Genomic DNA, 24658 nt, shown 5'->3' with positions numbered 1-24658 from the left:
CAGATGTGCCTCCAGAGCAGTCATGATTCTGGCAGGTTTTAAATGTCCTTAGAAATCCAAAAGTTAAAGATACAATCTCCCCAATCACAGGCTATGGATTTCTAGCTCTGTGGGGCTTACCTTGCATCTTCTCTGTCACTTCACAATTGTCATTTCTCATGAAAGACTTTGTAATCTTTCTGAGCACTCACTTTTCAAGAGGGCAGTCAGCCCTTTCCCCCTGACCCTCATTCGGGCGGAGGAAGAAATAGGAAAATGGCACCCTCACCACGGAGTTGTGCCAGCTACAGCTTGACCTGAAGTGGCCTCGTCTGCTTCTGCCTCACTAAGCAGGACGATTTTCTGGCAGTGTGCAGCCCTTTCTGCTGTCACCTCAGCCCTGGGACTTGTCTATGATGTGTGCTGGCTCTAAGTGATAAGTCTCTGGGTGATCCTCTGTCATTTTTGCTTCCTTTTCTGCTGCATGAAGATTCTCATAAAAAGCACATGGATTTCCTAGGTCTGTATTTCATTTTGTGTCTATTGTGAAAGTCTTTTCTCTGAATGTCTTGAAGTGTCTGGACACCCTTCCTTTGCAAAAAACTCCATCATCTTCCCTACATCTCAAGATTAGGTTATAAATGGGAAGTTCATGTTGAGGTTGGTGTCACTGTGAGGCGGCCACCTGTAAGTGCCAAAAAGTACTGTTTGGGAGGAATAAATATTTAATAATATGGAAAGATGATCACTATATATTAAGATACAGGTTATGAAATAATTAACATTATAATACACTACATATACTTGCACATAAATATTTGTAAAAAGGGACCAAAAAGACCAACATGAAGTATTAACAATCCTTATCTCTCATAAGTAAGTGTGTTTTTTTTTTTTTTCATTTTTCTTCTAGGTACATATCTTTATTTTCCAAATTTTCTACAATGGACAGATTTTGTTTTGGTAATCAGAAAAGATGAGCAAAATATATTTTTAATTTTCTAAATAAATCAGCATCCCAATAAATAAGTTTGGATTCGTACATCCAGAAAGAAGAAGGATTAGTACATCTGGGGGTGCAGGTATACAGCATGATGCTTTGTGCTTAGCAATACAGGGCAGGTGAGCATGAACTCCTGGGACTTAGCACAGGCCCCACCCCTGAGGCAGGCAAGGCCCAGATTTCATCCCATTTCAGCCAGAGTTGACCCCAAAGAGCCAGTTGGGTAGCAGGTGATCCTCAGGAGTCAGGCACATGGGCTTTCTGCCTTAGTCAAATTTGGCAACTCAAACTATGGGGTAGGAGTAGTAGTGGCCCTCATTCTGAGGAATGGGAAGACCATCTAAGGAGCTGACAGGCGGCCCTGCCTTCCCTTGGCCCTTCCTTCCCGTAAGGATTGTGTTATGTATGCTTTTTGTCAGGGAACGGGCCAAAAAGGATCATTCCCCTTCTCTATCTCTTTAGGAGCAAACAACATCTCCTAGAAAGGCCAGTTATGTCAGGTAGATAGTGCAATACCCTCTGCTCCATCTTCATGGCCCAACTCACTGGAAACCTTCCTCTATTTGGGCTTAAAAAGATGACAAAGGACTATTTTCAGAGATCCTCATTTTTTTTTTTTTTTTGAGACGGAGTCTCACTCAGTCACCCAGGCTGGACTGCAGAGTGCAATGGTGCGATCTCTGCTCACTGCAACCTCCACTTCCCAGGTTCAAGGGATTCTCCTGCCTCAGCCTCCCGAGTAGCTGGGATTACAGGCATGCGCCACCATGCCTGGCTAATTTTTGTATTTTTAGTGGAGATGGGGTTTCACCATGTTGGCCAGACTGGTCTTGAACTCCTGACCTCAAGTGATCCGCCCGCATCGGCCTCCCAAAGTGCTGGGATTACAGGCATGAGCCACCACGCCCAGCCAATCCTCATTCTTTACATGGAACAATTCTAGAATCTATAGCCCAGTCATGGAGATAGGGTATTACCCCAAACCTCCTTTAGCATTAGAGCAATGGAAAGTCAGCCCCACCTGCTCTGAGGAAAGAGACTTCTGGTTTGGTGAAACTCTGAATGACTGAGTTAGGGGCTGTGGATGACCAGCAGCTGGGTGAATTAGGGAGCATAGGTAGGAGTAACAGGAATCAGCGTGGTCCCTGCAGCACCAAGGGACATCAACTTTTTATGGTAGAAGACATTCCTCAGAATTGGGGCATCTCAGGCCATACCACTTATTTATACCAAAGTCAACCCATTCTAAATCCAAACTCCCTTTTAAGGAGGTCTAAACCAACCTTAAAGGGATGTATTATAAAGATGGTTTAATCTCTAGAGATGGAGACTGAGCATTAGTATTTTTATAATCCTTCTGCTAACTCCAATGGGCAGCCACAAGGTCGAGAACCACTACTCTTGATTGATAGCAGATACTCCATTGAATGGCACCAGTAGGATCCTCACCACACCCATTACACCATGAGATTAGAGGTGGTGTTGTTCCTGTCTGTGTGGCCTGCTAGCCAGGTGTAACAGCTCTTCTCACAATTCTGTAAACAGCCAAGACTTTTAAAGTAAATTTCTTTTCTACCTAAATCAGCTGGAGTCATTTACTTTTACTTACACTAAGAACCTTGACTAACACAAACTCCAACCTCTATGTTGCCAAAACCCAATGTCCCTTTTCTGGCCTCAGCTTACTCAGCCTCTCAGGCTACATCGGACGCAATTAATCCATTATTTTCTTTCTGAAGCACTTCCAGAACACTTGGCATTTTGTGAGCACTCCAAATACTTCTCCAACTTCAGTAGTCCCTCCTTCTGTCTCCTTCTGATTCCTCTTTCTGTACTTTATCTCTAAATCATGGGTTTCCTTCTTTTTTTTTTTGAGATGGAGTCTCACTCTGTTGCCCTGGCTGGAGTGCAGTGGTGCGATCTCGGCTCACTGCAAGCTCTGCCTCCCGGGTTCACGCCATTCTCCCACCTCAGCCTCCTGAGTATCTGGGACTACAGGTGCGTGCTGCCATGCCCGGCTAATTTTTTGTATTTTTAGTGGAGACGGGGTTTCACCGTGTTAGCCAGGATGGTCTCGATCTCCTGACCTTGTGATCTGCCTGCCTTGGCCTCCCAAAGTGCTGAGATTACAGGCGTAAGCCACTGGGCCCAGCCATGGGTTTCCTTCTTAACTCAAGGTGATCTCATCCATTCTCATGGTTTTAAAACCATTGACATGTATGTATCTTCAGCACTGACCTTTCTCCTAAACCCCAATCTTATATATGCCTTCTAATCATACACAATATCTGCTATGGGATATCTAATATATCTCAAATTTGGCATGTCCAAAATGAAACTCTTGAGTTCACTCTTAAAACTGTTCTTCCCCATTTCCCCAATTTCAGGAAATGGTTTCACCATCCACCCAGTTGCTCAAACCAAAAATGCAAGAGTCAGACGTGTTTTTTCTCTTTTTCTTACTCCCCACATATAAACTCTCAAGTACTCTCAGTACAAACATATAATCCTAATTCAGCCTCTTCTTTCTATCTTCATGGTTCCTACCTGGTCCAAGCCACTACCAGCCTCTCAAAGCCTCTTAGCTGACCCTCCTATTTGAACTCTTCATTCCACGTTCCAAATAGCAGCCAAGGTGATAAAAAAACAAACAGACAGATATAAGTCAGATCCAATTCCTCCCATGGTTAGAACCTTCTAACAGCTGAGAATGAGATCTGAAGCTCTTATGTAGGCCTATAAGAGCTATGGTATTTCTACCTCTCCAATGTATCTTATATTACTCTCCCTCTCTACCATTGTGTTTCAGTCATATTGGCTACTTCCTATTATTCTAAAATGTCAAGCCGTCTCAACCTCAGGGCCTTTGCAGTTGCTGGCCCCTCTACCTGGAACACTCTCCCCTCAGTTACTTGCATATTCAACTTCTCATCATTCAGGTCCCAGTTCAAATCTCACTCCTTAGCAAGGCCTTTCATGATCACCTGATTGAATGAGTCATCCCCCAACTTCCACCACTCTCTATTATATATATATTTTCTACTTTTTTCATAGCACTTATCACTTTCTGAAATTATCTTATGCATATGTTTGTTTTTCTCACTGGAGTAGAAGTTCCATGGGAGCAGGATCTTACCTGTCTTACCCATTACACAATTTTCTGCACCTAGAACAGTCTCTGGCATGTACAAAGTAAGCTTTCAATATATATTTTTGAATGAATTAATTGACAATTTCCTAGAAAATCGTTTATCTCATCATCTGGTGAATCTAATTAAACATCAGCCTCTCTTCCTGCCTTATGATGTATAGTGCAGTGAATGGAACTTTTCCTTCTATGTTATCTGGACATCCTGTAGCAAATAAGGGTCACTGTAACCAATCAAATGACCACATGGAAAGGGGATGGATCTCCTAGCCAAACTTGGATTTCAGTCCTGTTTTCACCATTCATTCCTTCAACCCAACAGAAGATGTGGATAAGGGGGTGGGCAGCACACAAGCAACAGTTGAAGTCATGAGCATAGATGAATGGAAAAAAGAAAAGACAATGATCCCCCGGGCGATATCAACATGCAAGGGCTGGACTAGGAAACAGTTTCCAACGAAGTGGTTTCTAGAAGCCAAGGGCAAAGCAGTGTGTAGTCAACCCACCAAATGCACAGGAGGAGTCCAGTGAGGTAAGGACTGAGACTGTAGGGTCAAATAGATTATTTTTAAGTGTGAAGGTGACTTCTTAAGCCTGCTGATAAGCTGAAAAGAAAAACTCTGTGATATGGACAATTGATTTCCCTTCAAAATTCATTTCCAACTTCATATAATGAGGATCTGTCTTATCTACTTTAGATGGCTGTCAAATAGCATGTGTTCATTCAGTCTTCTAATACTGGTGGACGTGTAGAGATTTATTGAGAAAAGTACCTGTGAGGGAAAGGGAAGGAAGTTGGAAGAGGCCAGAAAGTCATCAAGCCAAGATGCACGTCCGAGCGCTATGGAGGAAAGAAGAAAGGATGGAAAGTTGGGTTTAAACACCTTACATCACTTTGCAGTTCTAAGAAAATTTCAGCGAGGCCAGTGGGGAGTCCTCAAGTCTCCCAGAAACAGGTCCACCTTAGCATTTCTGCCTAACTCAGTTGTTGGTTCAGAGCAGGCTGTGGGGCACCTGCTTCATATAAACAGATGGATTTTAGAGCACAGCAGCTGAGGCTGGAGGTCTGTTAAGCTCCCACACTCCAAGATCTGCATTTTCATGGCCACCATGTAGGTTAAAAGGTTCTGAAGTCCTTTTTGAAATGGGAAACAGGTGACTAATCCAAGCTGTCATTTTAAATTAGCAAGTGTTTATTGTTGCTTACAAAGAAGATAAGAGAAGGAAAGAAAGTACTCAATTTCTGTACTCAAGTTGCTTACATTTTCTAATCATGTGCTCCTTCACCTAAAATCAGCATGAGACTAGGGTTTAAGTTAATAGAGAAGTATAAATAGTTGAACTCTGGTTAACAAAATTTTGACCTCAGTGCCAATTGGACCAAGTTAATCAAAATAACTGTTATCCATATTTCAGCAAACCTCTTAAACATTCATGCTCCCTGGGGCATGATGTCCACCTAGTAAATGCCCAGCTTCAGACAAAGTTCTTGTTTTTCAAGGCCTGAGTAAATTAGGTGCTAAGAATTTTGAAAACTGTCATTTATCTGGGCCGCTAGGGAAAGTTCACATAATTGCATATAGTACTCCTTTCCTGATAAAGCAGCTTTGCATTTCATTTTCTCTGCCTCCTTGTTTGCTCTAAATCACTGAGGGGGTCAATGACGTTCATCTCTGTAACTACTCCACAGAAGGACAGTCATCTGTGTGGTTCTGATGCATGTTCCGATTGGGGACGAAGAGCCCTGAACACATTTGCAACCTTGAGAACTGCCTTGTGTGACAGTATCAGGGATCTCTATGCCCTAAATCTGAAGATTGGCCTGGCTGGAACAGAGCAAAAATCAGTACTCCTAGTATAGCTGTCCCTCCATCATTGTAGAATTCCTCGACTAGTGTTCATCTTAGAGGCTCTTCACCTTGAAGATTAGTATAACACGGAAAAGGGGGTTCTAGCTCTCTTGCTAGAGCTCATATTTTCTAGATGGTGCTAGCCAATCTGCTTAAAGCTTGAGGCTGAACATGAGCTTCTTTTTCATTTATTTTTTATTTATTTATTTATTTTTTTGAGACGGAGTCTCGCTCTGTCACTCAGGCTGGAGGGCAGTGGCGGGATCTCGGCTCACTGCAAGCTCCGCCTCCCGGGTTCACGCCATTCTCCTGCCTCAGCCTCCCAAGTAGCTGGGACTACAGGCGCCCGCCACTACGCCCGGCTAATTTTTTTGTATTTTTAGTAGAGACGGGGTTTCACCGTTTTAGCCGGGATGGTCTCGATCTCCTGACCTCGTGATCCGCCCGCCTCGGCCTCCCAAAGTGCTGGGATTACAGGCGTGAGCCACCGCGCCCGGCCTTTCATTTATTTTTAACACCAAAAACACATATTAGGTTTTCATTCCCTTGTGTGTACCCCACTCTCCATAAGAATCACTTTTATTTCTAGTCTCAAGGCAAAATCCTTGGATACATGGGGACTTCTCCCAAGGCTGCTTAAAAACTAGTGGTTCTAAGTCAAATCTCAGAGGTTTGCTAGGAGACAATAACAATAGGAATAAGAAATAGAATTATTTTCCTAAATATTTTTATTAATGGTGAATCTGAACAGATGGCTAGAAGTCATACGTAAAATGTACATGGGCAAGAATTTCAGGTTTTGTTTGTGTGATGTAAGCCCAATAAAGCTACAACTCATGGCATCTTAAAGGAAGTATGGAATACCTATCTTCTGTCAATGGCTAAAACTCTATAGTCCTGGACAGATGTTCCCATCTCTCCTAAATCATTGAAAATTTTATTACAAATAAATTAAGTGAAAAAATTTAGCTTTTAACTTCTCTCGGAGAGATTTCATAATGTCCTGAAAAGGAAAGTGTGACTTTAAGAGATGAGACTAGTATGATCTCAAGTACATTTTTAAAAATATACTTATGCATAGAAAAAACTCTCCAGACTCCAGGTTGTGCTTAAATAAAATTTGGGGGTGGTAAAAGTATGGGTGATTGTTATTTACTCCCTTTATTTTCTATAGTGGGTATGACTGATTTTTATTATTGGGGGAAATTAACTATTTAAGAAAGGAGAGTTAATTACTAAACCACAATAATTATGTGGCTTATGGAAGCAACTTCTTCATTTCATAGGCAGACAAACTCTACATTTAGGCAAATTGATCTGTAGTTGGGTCCTCTTCAATTCTTGTCTCATCTCTTTGACCTTAAGGACATACGACTGCCTGGGTGGTGTTTAAGGGAAATATGTTTTTTCAGCTATAAAAGAAAATTCCAGTTGTCAGGGATCCAAGCCTTATAAAAAGAAGGCTTTTGAGAAAGAAGCCACTTTCCCCACCCTCTGTGCATTCCACCGGGTGACCGGGACCATGTTAATGACAGAACTCCTGTGTGCAGACATGTGTGGAGAACTTCCTACAGTACAGGGTTGCTTTGTACGGAGATCCTGTGCCCCAGAGGCTGACGGCAGCTGTGTGCCCTTAGGTCAACATGAACAAATTCCCCTACAGAAAGGGAGCCCCACCAGATAGCTAAATGAAACCAACTCAACTAGGAAAGGCTAGAGCTGCTGTAAAGAGTCAAGAAGTTTGGAAATCTACAGAAGATAATCCTAGAAGTAACTAGCCTTCCTTTAAGACTCCTTTCTAACTTAAATTTGGTGTGGGAGGGGGGACTCTCACTGCATTTACCTTTTCTTTTTCAGCTGTCTTTGCCACATCACTGATCAAGCCTTGCTCTTAATAAGAGCTTCTTTGCCCTGTAGGTGATAGCCTTAGCTGGCCTTTAAGATCAAGGAGACAGAATTAGAAAAAAAGTCAAGGACACAAGCTGTGTGATATCATTTACTATGAACAAGGGAGAGAAAAGGCTCATTCTGTGACTGTAATGGAGACCCTGGCTTTAGGGGATTTACAGGAAGAGGCCTAGGAGATTACATCATCAGCTTCCAGATGGGGGAGTCTGGAAAGCATTAAAAAAAGAACTCTGGGTGGGCGTGGTGGCTCATGCCTGTAATCCCAGCACTTTGGAAGGCCAAGGTGGGTGGATCATCTGAGGTCAGGAGTTCGAGACCAGCCTGGCCAACATGGCAAACCCCATCTCTACTAAAAATACAAAAATTAGCTGGGTGTGGTGGTGGGCACCTGTAGTCCCAGCTACTTGGGAGGCTGAGGCGGAAGGATTGCTTGAACCCAGGAGGTGGAGGCTGCAGCAAGCCAAGATCACACCACTGTACTCTAGCCTGGGCAACAGAGGGAGAATGGGTCTCAGAAAAAAACACAAAAAAATAAAAAACAACAACAAAAGAACTCCAAAACTTCACAGTGTTGTAATTTTTCTCCTACCTGACTGTTAGAGCTTGGTAACCTCCCAAGACCTGGAGTCTCTGGGTATCAGAGGTGGGAGCAACATCAGAGATTATATATCCCAGGGATTCCAAAACTCAAGGTTTATAGGGGCCAGAAAACTGACATAAACAAGTGAAGAAGACTGGATATACGATAATTAGAAAAAGTAGGGGCTATAGCAAACCAGAAAGAATATGCATTTTTAGAAACACCATGTGGGCCAATGAAAACAAAACTACTGGCCAATGTTTTCATGTAGGTTGCCCATTTGTGACGTACAACTAATCCAAACTAGTTTTGTGAATGAAGAAATAGAGGCTCTGCGCGGTAAAGTGACTCACTGAAGGTCACACAGCCAAGTAGTGACAGAACCAATAATGGCCCCCGGACTCTTACGCCAAGGCTCTCCCCACCGTATCATGCCATCTCTCTACCTGCACCTTGGGTAGAAGTTGGGTGACTGGAGAAAGCATCTCCCTCCTATTATGAAAGCTGATGTTGGGAGCTTTAGTGAGATCCAGGGAACTTTTCCCAGTAACTCTACATAGATTCTGGTTTACCTAACAGGTCATGCCAGCTGTAAATACCACTATCATTTATGACTCTCTCATACTGCGAATTTCTTTCTTTGATAGCATATGAAGAGGTTCCCTTTATGGGGTCCCCCCGGGTATAACTTGGGAACCAGTTGTTCCTTAGTCCAAGACTTCAAGCAACAAAACCGTGATCTGAACATCAGTACAAGTTTTACTGCAGTTATCTTTAAATTTGCCCCTAAGATGTTGGAGGAATTAATTATTAGTTGTGAACACTGTGAAAACTGGGAATAAAGGAATCCATGGATTCACAAAATATTATAATTAATGAATACCTATCAATAAACCGTGAATAATAGGCATTCTTCACAGGTTATCAAGCTAAGGCATCATTCATGAGTAAGTACATCAGCTATTTTGCCAGAAATGTTCTCTTTGTAATTTGCTCATGAAAAGTTTGTCCTATGCAAAAAAAGTGCATTTTGTGCTTTTAAGAGAGTATCATTAATGTTTTTATATACCATGAGTTAGTAACGATGGATAATACATACTTAATTTCCATTCATAATTTCTTACCCTTGAAAATTTTTTCAAATTTCCTCGACCTTGGTTTCAAGGAGAATTTTGTCAGATAATATGTGTTTTTAGGAGGTTTCCTCTCCTACTGGTCTTCCATCCAAGAAATCAGTGCCCTTCTGATTTTCCACCTAGGAGAGACTCTTGATGCATAAATATCAAACATCTGCAGAGCTCAGGGTCTACACACAATAAGTGCTCAATAAGCATGTTGACTGAGTGAGTGACTGGCCACAGTTCCCTGAGTCTAGTCTGGAAGCACGGATGACGTAAGCACTCTAAGGTGGGAGGCCACATTAGCTCTTCAGGTAAATGGACAGAATCCCCTCTGGTAAGAAGACTTGGCTGGAGACCTTGATTTCTGAGACTGGGTTTGGATTTCCAGTCAATTTCTCAAGCCCTTTCAGTGACTGGTAGTGGTCTCATTGCTCAGTGATGATGGAGACTGGGTTCATAACTACAGTTCATTTCCTTTTGGACCATGTGTAAAATTTCCAAAGCTATTGGGCCTGAGAACAGAACAAAGCTATTGGGCCCGACACTCACAAACACACAGGTACAGCTTTGAAAAAGTTTAAATCCTAGCCAATAATTACAGCAAATATTTAAGCAGCAATTACACTGTGCCTGTACGTTATCTCATTGAATCCTCACAACTCTCTTAGGAGAGAGATACTATCAGTATGCCTATATTTAGGGGGAGAAATCAGAGGCAGATAAATAATTTATCCCAAATTATACTGATAAGTGGCAAGAGTTGGGATCTCGGTTCAAGTGTATCTGGTTCTAGAATGTGAGCCTTTAATCTCTATAATATATCGCCTCTCATCAATCATGGCTTTGCCACTTATTACCTCTGTAGTTTTAAATGAGTCCCTTGGCCTCTCTGGGACTTGGTTATCTCATCTTTAAAGTAAAGGTAGTCACATCCACTTTGCAGTGTGTACCTGAACAACAGCCTCTTCTTTGCTCTTCCCTCTGACTCTAACTATAAGGTTCAAAGGGAACTGATGTCTTCTTGCTTTCCCATGCCCGACCCCATTCATTGGCCAAAGAATGAGCACCTCACCTAGAGACCCCAATCAGAGTTGCCTATCGCTGTGGCCATAGATTTTTTTTACTCAAGCCAGGACAATTGAGCCCCTCTCTGGGATTTTAAAACATGGCACCAGAGAAGGTGAGCCCTAGGCCCCTGGTAAAGCGGAGAGATGGGAGCCAGACTACACTTCCCTGCAAGTGGAGAAAGCCTGTCAGAGAGAATGAAACCAACATAAAAATGAAAGCAGAGGGAATAGTCAGAGGGAAAAGAGCCAGGTCCACTCCCAAACTCTACTGGCTCTGCTGCCACTTCTCCAGTAGAGTTACGGAGCAAATAAATCCCCATTTATGCCCACACTAATCTGAGTTAAGTTTTTGTTACTGGCATACACACACACACACACACACACACACACAGATTGAGAGAGAGAGAGAGAAAGAGACAGAGCATGGGGCAGGCGGGATTCTGATAAGTCCATAGCATTGGGCCTAAGTAAGTCATATGAGCACATATAATGGAAATCTATTTATAAAGGATCCAGATTTGAGGTATATCTTTGTTTTTTATTTTTTTGTTTTTTGTTTGTTTGCCTCAAGAGAAGACTTGAGTAAGTTATATCACTATTGGAAATGATGTCGTCTAGAGTTTTCAGAACACAGCCTTTGGCTGCAGTGCCATAGATATGATGGTAATATCTTCCTGGCCCATCTCCTCCCAGTATAAACTATTGCTCTCATCATGGGCCTTTGGAATCTTGGCTTTCACCAACGGTGATATTTTTCCAGAGCGCTAATGTCAAATATCAGAGGGGCAGAAATTAAATAAATGTGAAATTTTCAAAAAAGCAGAAGACAATGATAATATTCAGGATTTCTCAAGATCACAAGTGTCAAAGACATTTTGTTCAATTTATTTTCAGTATCCTATTTCCTTAAAGACACTACCAGGATATGTTTTTATTTCTGTATTGTCAGTACCTGGAATTTGAACACACAAAAGATAGTGAGATGTTTCCAAGGGTCAAGCAAGATTGAGAAGTAGTTCTTTTCATCTCAACCACTTAGTATGTTATTTTTCATAACTCTTCCCTGCTGAAGATAGAAGACATGCATTTTTTTGTTGTTGTGTTTTGAAATTTTATAAATAAGGAATTAACCCAGAGAGGTTGCTCTACAGTCACAGAAGTAACATTGAGGGTATAATCCATGCCATTATATTATGGTTATTAGTCTAATAAACATTAGTTTACGTTTATTAGACTAGACTTGTATGTGTGTGATACATTACACACATACAAGTATCTCTTGCTTTCCAGACTATCACTTTTTGAATTTAAGGACCAAATAGATATGTATAAAATTTTAGATCTATGCTGTCCTCTCCTATTTATTCTCCCTTTGCTCTCCATCCAGATCCATTTTCCACCCTCCAGTGCCTACTCTAAGCCCCAGAGGCTGACAACTAGGATAGCATCCCCTGGGTTGCCTTGCCCTCCAGCTTCTAATTGGGCGTGGCCAATGGGAGATCAATGGTGAGCGTGTTTGGGGTATCTATTTCCCTCCTCTACTGTGATAAACACTGTTGGTGCCACACCCACATGCCTGTTTTTGAGCATCCATTTCCTGGTTTCTATGTCCTTTGTTTCTGTTGGCTGACACCTGCAGCTTTCCTCAGAAGCCCACTTTGGGCCACAGAGCCACTTCACCCAGTACAGGTAGACAGCTGGGGGGTGTCTGGAAGCTTATGTCACCTCTGGACATTAGCCAACCACTGAGGTAAGAGGTTGAAAACCAGCTCCCTTGCCTTGAGGTGGGAAAAACTCTGAAGGGTGATGACTCTGATATATGATTTCACGCCAGAGCAACCTCTGGGGTTGGGCTGGTGCTGGGACATTGCTTGAATCTGTAATTTGCAAGGCTTTCCCTCTTTCCCTGTCTTGGTTCCCTGTTTCTCTCATGTGTGTCTCCAGAGAGCACTTCCTCAATCATTCACTTACACGCAAATCCTTGCTTCAGAGTCTGCTTCTAGGGAACCACAACGAAGGCCTCTCCGATATCCATTTCCTTAGAGCCTGGCCACAACCTCAGCAGGGGCCGAGCCCCTCTACAGCCGCAGATCCTATTGGGTGGCCTTGGGAAAAACATTCCTTCTCTTTGTCCCTTTAGGACTAGGGATGTTAACTGCTTCCCATTGGTGCTAGTATTTGGGTTCCTGTTGGTTCCCTTAATCTTGCCCACCACTCTCTAGCTAACATTCTCTTTTACCCCTTTTTCATTAAACCCGTTGAATTAACCATTACTTTCTGACTGGGACCCTGATTGAGAATCCTCTCTGCTCCCCCTTCCAACTCTGCTACTCACTAGCTAAACGTCGAGAACCAAATTGATTCAGATAACAAGGCATCCCTTGCTATCCAAACTCTCTTGTCAAGAATCTCCCTATCTGAACTCAGAGAACCAACGATTTTGGACAGTGAGGATAATTACACACATACTCATATATACAGATGCACATATACACACACATACACACACGTATCTCATATAATTATTTTGAAAGTTATGCTGAGGACACTAAAAGAAGACAAGTGGTAGAAAATGCCTGAAAAATGTGAAATAGATTTCTGTTCTGCCCATGAAGGAATAGCTGTGACAGAATTACCTCCTTGACATATTCCATTAGAATAATGGACAAAATACATGAAACAACTGTTTGCAGTCTTTGGACAGAAAGCAAAGCAGGACTGTAATCTCTGGGAGAGGGGAAGCATATGATGTGAGCCCTCCTTATGACTACCCCAGTTACTTCCTGGAGGCAGTTTCCAGGCTGCAGGGCAGGAAAAAGGAAACCCAAACAGGTATAGCAGTCTCATTGAGTAAGGAGGTGGAGATCAGGTTTCAGGGAGGCCAGGGCAAAGGACCAGAAATGAGGGAGACACACAGACAGAGCACTGTGGAGCTCTGCAGAAGGGCCCCTTCGAATCTTTGACTGCTGCTGACCTGTGCATGTGTGGGGTAAAACTATGACGCTGGAAAAAGAAAAGCCAGAAAGAAGTAAGCTCAGTAATTCTTGGAGTTTACACACGGCTGGGAAATGTTCGCTTTTCCATCAGTCAGAGTAAAGAGGCCTCATAATACACAGGGAATTGGGCTGAGCCCTCAAAGTGCATTTTCTAGTTGAGCTAAATTAACCCTAAAACAAAGCCAGGACCCAGCCTAACAAAGCTCTGGACCCAGCCTAACAAAAGCTTAAAAACAAGGCTTGAAAGAATTAAACTGTTTCCAAGTAACTTAACTGCCTATCAGAACAAGGTCCACACTTATTAAAAGAATTCAACAAAATCTGGCACCCATAAACAACAACAACAAAAAACAAACAAAATTATATCTACAATGGCTGTCACCTAGTAAAAAGTTACCAGGCAAGAAGAAGAGAAAAATATGACCCATAGTCAGGCTAATAATCAATCAATATGAACAAAATTAGAGATGACAGAGATTATGGAATTAGAAAAGACCTGAACCAGTTATTAGAGGTATGTGCCATGTGCTTGAAAATGTAAAGCAAAACATGAATATAACAACAAGAGAAATGGAAGATATTTTTTAACAGACTCAAGTGGAACATCTAGATATGAAAATATATTCTAAATAAAAAATACACTGAATAAAAGTAACAGCAGACTAATACTATAAAATAAAAAATTAGTGAACATAAAGACCCAACAACAAAAATTACCCAAAATGAAGCACAGGGAGAAAAAAATATTTTTAAAAAATTAATAGGCTGGGCTCTGTAACTCATGCCTGTAATGTCAGTGCTTTGGGAGGCCAAGGCAGGAGGATTGCTTCAGTCCAGTAGCTTGAGACCAGCCTGGGAACATAGTAAGACTCTATATCTACAAAAAATGAAAAAATTAGCTGGGCATGGTGGCATGCACCTATAATCCCAGCTACTGGGGAGGCTAAAGTGGGAGGATTGCTTGAGTCCGAAAGTTACAGGCTGCAGTGACCTATGACCACACCAGTCCAGCCTGGGCAACAGAATGAGACTCTGAAGAAAGAAAGAAAAAGAAAGAGAGAAAGAGGGAAGGAAGGAAGGAAGGAAGGAAGGGAAGGAGGAAGGGAGGAAGGTAGGAAGGAAGGGAGTGAGGGCTCCATGACATTTGGGGAAATATCAAGTTGTCTAAAATATAGTAAATGCAGTTCTAAGAGTAGAGGAGAGAAGGAAAACAAATATTTGAAGAACTAATAAATAATAGTTGAAATTTCCAAAATTTATGAAAAGTGGTAAATGTATAGACCTTAGAATCTCAACAAAACTCAAATGGAATAAACATAAAGAAAAATACATAAAAGCACATTATAGTTAACTTGGTGAAAAACAGTAATAAAAAGCAGCCAGAGAAAAGAAACCCCTTTACGTGTCAAGAAACAAGGTAGCATTAGAGCGTATTTCTTGTAAGAAACTATGCAAGCCAGGAGACAATGAAGTGACATCTTAAAGGACTGAAAGAAAAAACAACGGTCAATGTAGAATTATATTCCCACCAAAAATATCTTTCACAACAAAGACAAAATAAAGACTTTTTCATACAAACAAAAGTCAGTAGACCTCCACTGCAAGACATGCTAAAGGAAATTCTTCAGGCAGAAGGAAACTGATGTCAGTGGAGAATTTGGATCTAACAAAGGAGTAAAAAACAGGAAATGGAAAATATGAGGATATACATAAAAACCTTTTTTTCTCATTCTTTAATTGTAGGAGTTTTAGCACATGCAGCGATAAAGCCAATGACAATAATACTACCAAGGACTAAAGAGGAGATAAATGAAAGAATCTCATACCATATGCAGAGTTGAAGGTAGACTATGATAAGCTAAAGATAAATTCTAGAAGCCAGCACAGTGGCTCATGCCTGTAATCCCAGCAATCTGGGAGGCCAAGGCAGATGGATCATCTGAGGTCAGGAGTTTGAGACGAGCCTGGCCAACATGGCGAAACCCCGTCTCTACTAAAAGTACAAAAATTAGCTGGGCGTGGTGGCAGGTGCCTGTAATCCCAGCTACTCAGGAGACTAAGGCAGGAGAATTGCTTGAACCTGGGAGGCGGAGGTTGCAGTGAGCTGAGATCACACGACTGCACTCCAGCCTGGGCAACAAGAACAATACTCTGTCTAAAAAAAAATTCTAGAGCAGTCACTAAAAATAAGCAATAACAACAACAAAACTAAAGAAGCACAGCTAATAAACCAATGGTGGAGATAAAATGAGATCATAAAAAAATAAAGTTAGAAAAGGGGGTAAAAGAGGAAGAAAGAAACAAAGAACAGATAAGACAAATAGAAAACAAACAGCAGCATGACATTTTAAAACCATATCAATTATTACATCAAACATAAATCGTCTAAACACTCCAATTAAAAGGGAAATTATCAGTGTGGATTAAAAGACAAGACAAATTATATATTATCTGTAAAGAACCCACTTTAAGTAAAACAACACAGCTAGATTGAAAGAAATGGATGATAAAAAATGACTATGTAAACATTAACAAAAAGAAAACTATAGTGACTATATTAATATCAAGCAAAGTCAGCTTTAGAACAAGGACTATTACTGGAGATGAAAAGGAACATTACATAATTATAAAGAAGTCAATTAATTAAGACATCACAATAATCCTTAACATGTATTCATCCAGTAACAAAGTTCCAAAATACATGAAGCAAAAACTGATAAAATTTAAAAAATAGACAAACTCACAATTATATTTGGATATTTTAATACTCTTCTATTGGGAATTGATAGAACAAGTTGGCAAAAATCAGCAAGCACATAAATGACTTGAACAACACTATCAACAAACATGACCTAGTTGATGTTTACAGAATGCTTATACCCAACAACAGCAGAACCCGTCACAATTATAGCTCATATTCTGGGCCAAAAAAAAAAAAAAAAAAAAAAGTGGAAGTCTCAATGGGCTAAATAAATAAAAAAGAATTCAAATAATACAGAGTATGTTTTCTGACCACAGTGGAATTATTCTAGAAATCAAATAGCAAGCCATCTGGAAAATCCTTAAATACATGAAAATAAATAACACACTTCTAAATAACCCATAGCTCAAATAAGAAATAACAAAAAGAAATTAGAAAATATTTTCATAGGATAAAATTAAAAATACGACACATCAAAATCTGTGGGATGCAGCAATAGTGCTTAGAGAGAAATTTATAGCATTAATTACTTATATTAGAAGAAAATAAAAGTCTTAAGTCCATAGTCTAAGTGTCCATCTTTTTCTTTGAAAAGATAAATACAATTATGAACTCCTAGCCAGACTGATCAAGAAGAGAGAAGAAATTAAATAACAATATCAGGAATAAAAGAGGGGTCATCACTCTAGATCTTATGGTCATTAAAAGGTAATAAAGGAATATTGTAAATAAATTTCTGACAACAAATTTCATAACCTAGAAGACATGGAGAAATTTCTTCAAAGACACAAATTGCCAAAGCTTAGTAAAGGAGAAAGAAATAACCTGACTAAATTTAACTCCCAAACTAATTTTCTGTAACCAGCTTTACCCTGATACCAAAACCAGGCAAAGCCATTACATTAAAAGAAAACTACAGGCCAATCTCTCTCATGAATATAAATGCAAAATTACCAAAATTTGATCAAACTGAATCTAACAATTTATGAAAATAATACATCAAGACTAATGACAATTATTCTAGCATTATTTACAATAGCAAACTTTAAAATGATCCATCTATCAACAGGAGAATAGCTAAATAAATTAAAGATATTAGTATAGCCAGTAAATATGACATATAGAAAAAAATGACATTAGGAAATGCTAACAATATAACTAGAAAAAGTAAATATGCTATGCTCTCAACACGTAATACAGTGAACATAGGGGAGAAATATACCAGATGTTACAAAGCCTTGTAGTAGGCCCTGGAGGTGCCCTGCCCAGTTGCCTCTTACCCCAACTGCTGAGAATGTTGGCTAATGGCTTCGTAAGAATTCCCTTTGTCGGCTGGACGCGGTGGCTCACGCCTGTAATCCCAGCACTTTGGGAGGCCAAGGCGGGTGGATCACGAGGTCAGGAGATCAAGACCATCCTGGCTAACACGGTGAAACCCCGTCTCTACTAAAAATACAAAAAATTAACCGGGCATGGTGGCGGGCACCTGTAGTCCCAGCTACTCAGGAGGCTGAGGCAGGAGAATTGCTTGAACCCGGAAGGCAGAGGTTGCAGTGAGCCAAGATTGCACCACTGCACTCCAGCCTGGGCGACAGAGCGAGACTCTGTCTTAAAAAAAAAAAAAAAAAAAAAAAGAATTCCCTTTGTCCACAGGAGGCAGTATGCAAACTGATATAAATGCTCAGCCCTCTTGACTCAAACGAACTCTGTGGTGCCACTCACATCCTAGAGCTCCCTGTGGGATCAGGCCAAGGCAGGATTTCAGCTGAAACTGCTTTAGGATTCTTTCCCTGCTGTAACCTACTTTCCTCACTCTCTTACAGGTTTTACCTAAGAGCACTCCCTCAGTAAATCACTTGCCTCTTCTTAGGCTTCTTCAAGGCAACCTGACCTAAGGCAATGCCCAAAAGTGATTCTGGGACCAGACTCTAATGATGGGATCCTGGAATTGGTTAACTCATCATATAGATGACAATGAGGACTTCCTCATTGGTGGTAGGTATTGGTAACTCCTAGCATGCTGTGATAAAACAATTGCTAAAACTTTCACCTGCAGAGAGAAGGGATGGAATATCGGGGAAAGGGATGCACTAGTTTGTGCCTTGTCTCTGGCACTTGAAAGATACGAAGAATTAACTCTTAAGTACTGTGAAATTGAGTAGCTAAATCAAGGCAAAGTGTGAGTGCCAAGGGGACTCCTGGACATTTCCTTTTCCCAGAGGGCATAGTGAGCTGAATGCCATGCACAATTATTGTAAGAGAAGTAGAATTTTAGGAGAAGCAGAACTCTAAGAGAAGCTGAATTCTGTGTAGGGAAGCCCTATGTCAAAGTCAGAGGTCTGATAGGGAAGGTGTGGTAGTCTGAGGCTTAGGATAGAGATATATAGGTAGACGCCCCTGAGAACCTCGATCCACCTGAACATTCTGGGCTTGCAGAAGTATCCCTCCTCCTTGTTTGAATATTATGCAAATGGCTTATAAGATAATGCTTTTCCTCCTCAGGATCTGCCCTTACCTCTCCTCCGGGCATGCTCACTAATAACTAGGTTCTAAGCTAAATGTGACCTGACTAGGGAATGCTGAGTCTGCCAAGGAAGGAGAGGAGTTACATGCTGAAGGAGCTGCAATACCTGGATTACATTTACCAGCAGGAATCAGGAGTGTTTCCGGGAGAAGATCTTGAGGGTGCCATATCCAGGGGAGTAGAGTGTAATATAAAGCTGCATAATAGCTTGCCAGTATGTGGAAAATTTCCCGTAACACTGGATTTAATATCGCAGGGGCCACAGGAGCCAGATTATATTAATCTGCTGCTAAGAAGACCCCTGGAATAAAAAAGGAATGACCCACCTTAAAAGAAGTATGGCATGGAAGAAGGAATCAAAAAGCACAGCAAACTGAGCCAGCTGGAAAGAATCTACAATATAAGACTAGAAAACCAACTGGCTAACAATGTGTCCTGGAAAAGTGTTATGAACTGAATTGTGCCTGCCCCCCAGACTCATTTGTTGAAGCCCTGACCCCCAGTGTGACTGTATTTGGAGATAGGAAATTTAAGGAGGGAATTAAGGTCAAATGAGGTCATAATGTGGGGCCCTAATCTAATAAAACTGGTGCCCTTATAAGAGGAAGAGACACCAGAGATCTGTCTCTCTCTGCACGCATGCACGGAAGAAAGACCATATGAGGACACAGCAAGGAGGCAGCAATTTGCAAGCCAGGGGGAGAAGCCTCACTAGAAACCCAACCTCTTGGCATGTTTATTGGATTTCCAACCTCCAGAACTGTGAGAAAATAAATTTCTGTTGCTTTAGCCACCCAATCTGTAGTATTTTGCATGGCAGAACTAGCAGACAAATACAGAGGGCCGGCCTGGTGCAGTGGCTCACGCCTGTAATCCCAGCACTTTGGGAGGCTGAGGTGGGCAGATCACCTGAGGTGAGGAGTTCGAGACCAGCCTGGCCAACATGGTGAAATCCTGTCTCTACTAAAAATACAAAAATTAGCCAGGTGTGGTGGCAGGTGCCTGTAATCCCAGCTACTTGGGAGGCCGAGGCAGGAGAATTGCTTGAACCCAGGAGGTGGAGGTTACAGTGAGCCGAGATTGCACCATTGCACTCCAGCCTGGGCAACAAGAGTAAGACTTCATCGCCAAAAAAAAAAAAAAAAAAAAGCAGAGGGCCTGGAGGATGCTCTAATGTCTAAGGCAAGAAAAATGATGGTGAGAGAGCCACCAGCATCACTGAGAAGCTCAGTAGTAGCTGTCCTGTATAGCAGGGACATCCAACCCCTGGGCCACGAACCCGTTAGGAACTGGGCCGCACAGTGAGAAGTGAGCAACGGGCAACCAAGCATTATTGCCTGAGCTCCGCCTTCTATCAGATCAGGGATGGCATTAGATTCTCATAGAAGCATGAACCCTGTTGTTAACTGCACACTCAAGGGATCTTGGTAATGCACTCCTGATGAGAAGCTAATGCCTGATGATCTGAGGTGGAACAGTTTCATCCTGAAACCATCCCCCACCACCTATATCCATGGAAAAACTGTCTTCCGCACAACCAGTCCTTGGTGCTAAAAATGTTGGCAACCGCTGCTTTATAGCTAAGGACTTTACAGCACTGGGCTTCCTAATAACAACAGATATAGGGTCTGGGAAAGCAGAAGCCAAATGGAAACACGACCATCAGAGCAAGGACATAAGGCAGGACATAATGGGCAGTCAGGAAGGTCTGATCCACAAGGATCTATGGAGCTGACAAATAGAATGCAGTGTTCCTAGGGACAAGATAGATAGGCAGCTGGTGAGGATTTCTGTCTATCTATAAATCAAAATCTCTTTGTCATCAATTTTCCAATCATGTTTCTTCCAATTTCCCAAACCAATTCTGTGAGTATTTCCCCAGTTCCAGAATACATAATTGGAGTGGACATATTTAGCAGCTGACAGAAACTCAACATCAATTCCCTGACCTAGGGAAAGTCTATTACGGTGGGAAAGCCTATAGTGGAAGCCATTAAAAATGCCTCTACCTAGGAAAATAGTAAACCAAAAGCAATACATTTCTGGGGGGATTGCAGAAATTAGCGCCATCATCAAGGACTTGAAAGACACAGGCATGGTGATTCCTATCACATCCCCATTCAACTTGCCTATTTGGTGTGTGCAGAAGATAGATGGATCTTGGAGAATGACAGTGAATTATATTGTAAGCTTAACCAGGTTGTGGCTTCAATTGCACTTGCTGTCCCAGATGTGGTTTCATTGCTTGAGCAAATTAACACATCCCCTGGTACCTGGTATGCAGCTATTAATCTAGTAAGTGCATTATTCTCTATACCTGTCCACCAGAGGCAGTTTGCTTTCAGCTGGAAAGACCAGCAATACACCTTCACTGTCCTACCTAAGAAGGTTATCAACCCTCCAGTCCTATGTCATAATTTAATTAACAGATCTTGATTGATTTTCCCTTCCACAAGATATCAAACTGATGACATCATACTGACTGTACCTAGTGAGCGAGTCGCAATTACTTCTGACTCTTTGGTAAGATATTTGCATGTCAGAGGATAGGAAATAAATTCAGCGAAATTTCAGGGGTCCTCTACCTCAGTGAAATTCCTGGTGTCCAGTAGTATGGGGCATGTTGAAATCTCCCATGAAAGGTGAAGAACTAGTTGTTGCATTTGGCCCTTCCTACAACCAAGAAAGAAGCACAACACCCACCGGGATTTTGGAGGCAATGTATTTCTTATTTGAGTGTGTTACTCTGGCCCATTTACTTAGTGGCCTTAAAAGCTGCTAGTTTTAGTGGGGTTCAAAACAAAAGAAGGCTCTGCAGCAGGTCCAGGCTGCTGTGCAAGCTGCCCTGCCACTTAGGCCATATGATCTAGCAGCTCCAATGGTGCTTGAAGGGTCAGTAGAAGTTAGGGATGCTGTTTGCAGCCTTTGGAAGGTCCCCCTAAGTGAATTGCAACACAGGCCCTTAAGATATTGCAGCAAGGCCCTGCCATCCTCTGCAGATAACTACTCTCCTTTTGAGAAGCAGCTCTTGGCCTGCTACTGGGTCTTAATAGAGACTAAATGCTTAACTGTGAGCAACCAAATTACAATGCAACCCGAGCTGCCCTTTATCATGTCTGACCCAACATGCTATAAAGCTAAGCATGCATAACAACACTTCTAAACCCTAGGGCTCAGAGTACTGCAGCAGATCATTGGTGTTACTTCCGTGGAGCGTAGCGAGCCAACTAAATACTTTGACGCCAGTGGGAATGGCGATAATTATAGTAGCGGAGGTGAAGTAGGCTCGTGTATCTACGTCTATTCCTACTGTAAATATGGGGTGGGCCCATACAATAAATCCTAGGAAACCAATTGATATCATGGCTCAGACTATATCCATATATCCGAACCCGTTAGGAACTGGGCCGCACAGCGGGAAGTGAGCAGCGGGCAACCAAGCATTATTGCCTGAGCTCCGCCTTCTATCAGATCAGGGATGGCATTAGATTCTCACAGAAGCATGAACCCTATTGTTAACTGCACACTCAAGGGATCTCGGTAATGCACTCCTGATGAGAAGCTAATGCCTGATGATCTGAGGTGGAACAGTTTCATCCTGAAACCACCTCCACCACCTATCCATGGAAAAACTGTCTTCCGCACAACCAGTCCTTGGTGCTAAAAATGTTGGCAATTCACCAAAGGGAAGTGGTACATATGTGAGTGATCGCAAGGAGGCTCTGAGGGTACAAATGAATCACGTGAAAAAGTGACCCAAATTCCCATGGTTTCCACTACTGCCTTCTCTGTCTCTCAGCCTGTACCTAAGGCCATCTGGGGAGTTGCCTAGAATCAGTTGACAGAGAAAGAAAAGACTCAGGCCTGGTTTACAGAAGGTTCTGCACAATATGCAGGCACCGCCCAAAATTAACAGCTGTGGCACTACCTCCTTTCTCTGGGACATCTCCAAAGACAGGAAAATCAATCCCTGGAAGAGAAATACAGTGGGTGGAACTTCAGACTCTGCATCTGGTTGTTTACTTTGCTTGGAAGAAGAAGAAATGTGCCATTATGTACCAATTCATGGGCTGTGGCCAATTGTTTGTCTGGATGATCAGGGACTTGGAAGGAACATGATTGAAAAATTGGCAATGAAGAAATTTGGGGAAGACGTATGTTTATAGACTTCCCTTAATCAGCAAAAAAAAAAAAAAAAAAAAGTGCTCCATGTGAATGCTCAACAAAGGATGATGATGGTTAATTTTGAGTGTCAACATAACTGAATTATGGGATACCCAGAAAAACTCAGATAGCTGGTAATGCACTATTTATTCTCAATCATTGCATTAATTATTCTCAATGCTTATATGGGCACTGAGCTTCTTGTGCTGAAAGGGAAACCCAGGTGGTTTGGCATTTGATTAGAAAGACCAGGCTACCCCAGCTATGTCTGTGAGAGTGTTTCTACAGGAGACTAGCATACAAGTTGGTGGACTGAGTGGGAAAGATCTACTCTTAATGTGGGTAGAAACCATCCAGTCAGCTAAGGGTCCAGATGGAATAAAAAGCTGGCAGAAGAATGAATTCTTGCATTCTCTTCTGGAGCCTGTATGCCCTTCTTTTCCTGCCCTTGGATGTCCAGATTCTCTGGGTTTTGGACTCCAGATTCTCTGACTTTTGGACTCCTGGATTCACACCTTGACTCCTAGGCTCTCAGGCCTTCAGCCTTGGACTGAGAGTTACACCATTGGCTTTCTTGGTTCTGAGGACTTTGACTTGGATTGAACCATGCTACTGCCTTCCCTAGTTCTCCATCTTGCAGACAGCTTATTGTGGAACTTCTCAGCCTCCATAATCAAGTGAGCCAATTACCTGAATAAATTCATTCTTCTCTCTCTCTTTGTCTCTCTCTCTCTCTCTCTCTCTCTCTCTCTCTCTCTCTCTCTCTATATATATATATATATATATATATATATATATATATATATATATTATGGGTTTTGGACTGATTTTATATATAAAATCAGTTCTGTCTCTTTGGAAACCCTGGCTAAAACAGTGAACTCAGCAGAGGGGGATGTTAATAATCAAATGAATGGAATGACCCATTTTTATGGACATCAGTCAGCCTCTTTCCCTAGTTACCCCTGTCATCACCCAAAGCATCTATAAATAAAGTGGGCATGGTGGCAGGAATAGAGGTTACATATGGCCTCAGCAACATGGATTTTCACTAATCAAAGCCATCCTTCTACAGCCACCACGGACTGTCCAATCTACCAGCAGCAAGACCAACACTGATTCTCCAATATGGCACCATTCCCTAGGGAGATTAGCCAGCTACCTGATGGCAGGTTGATTACATTGGATTGCTTCCCTCATGGAAGTAACAGTGTTTTGGACTTGGATTAGACATTTACTTTGAATATGAATTTGCCTTCTCTGAATGCAATGCTTCTGCCAAAATAACCATTCATGGATTTACAGAATGCCTTATCTACTATCATGGTATTCCACACAGAATTGCTTTTAATCAAAGAGCACACTTCACAGCAAAAGAAGTACAGCAATGGGTCTATGCTTATGGAATTCAGTGGTCTTATCATATTCCCCACAATCTAGAAGCAACTGGTTTGAGGGAACGGTGGAATGGTCTTTTTAAGACTCAGTTACAGTGACAGCCAGGTAGCAATACTTTGTAGGGCTGGATCAAGGTTCTCCAGAAGACTATGTTGCTCTGAATCAGCATCCACTATATGGTATTGTTTCTCCTCTAGCCAGAATTCATAGGTCCAGGAA

General features: G+C 41.8%; 1 pseudogene, besides 1 other annotated feature; it reads right to left on the bottom strand.

The window, feature by feature from the left end:
• Positions 258-552: a silencer, noted in NCBI's record as "tiled region #12788; HepG2 Repressive non-DNase unmatched - State 24:Quies". NCBI's record gives its function as "represses a minimal TATA promoter and a strong SV40 promoter by Sharpr-MPRA in HepG2 cells {active_cell/tissue: HepG2}" and the evidence as "EXISTENCE:reporter gene assay evidence [ECO:0000049][PMID:27701403]".
• MTCO1P58 (MT-CO1 pseudogene 58) lies at positions 22076-22268 on the bottom strand (annotated as a pseudogene).

Source organism: Homo sapiens, chromosome 3 (assembly GCF_000001405.40).
Source record: "Homo sapiens chromosome 3, GRCh38.p14 Primary Assembly".
Lineage (NCBI taxonomy): Eukaryota > Metazoa > Chordata > Mammalia > Primates > Hominidae > Homo > Homo sapiens.
Note: the sequence above shows the minus strand (reverse complement) of the source record. Positions and strands in the feature narration are given on the sequence as shown.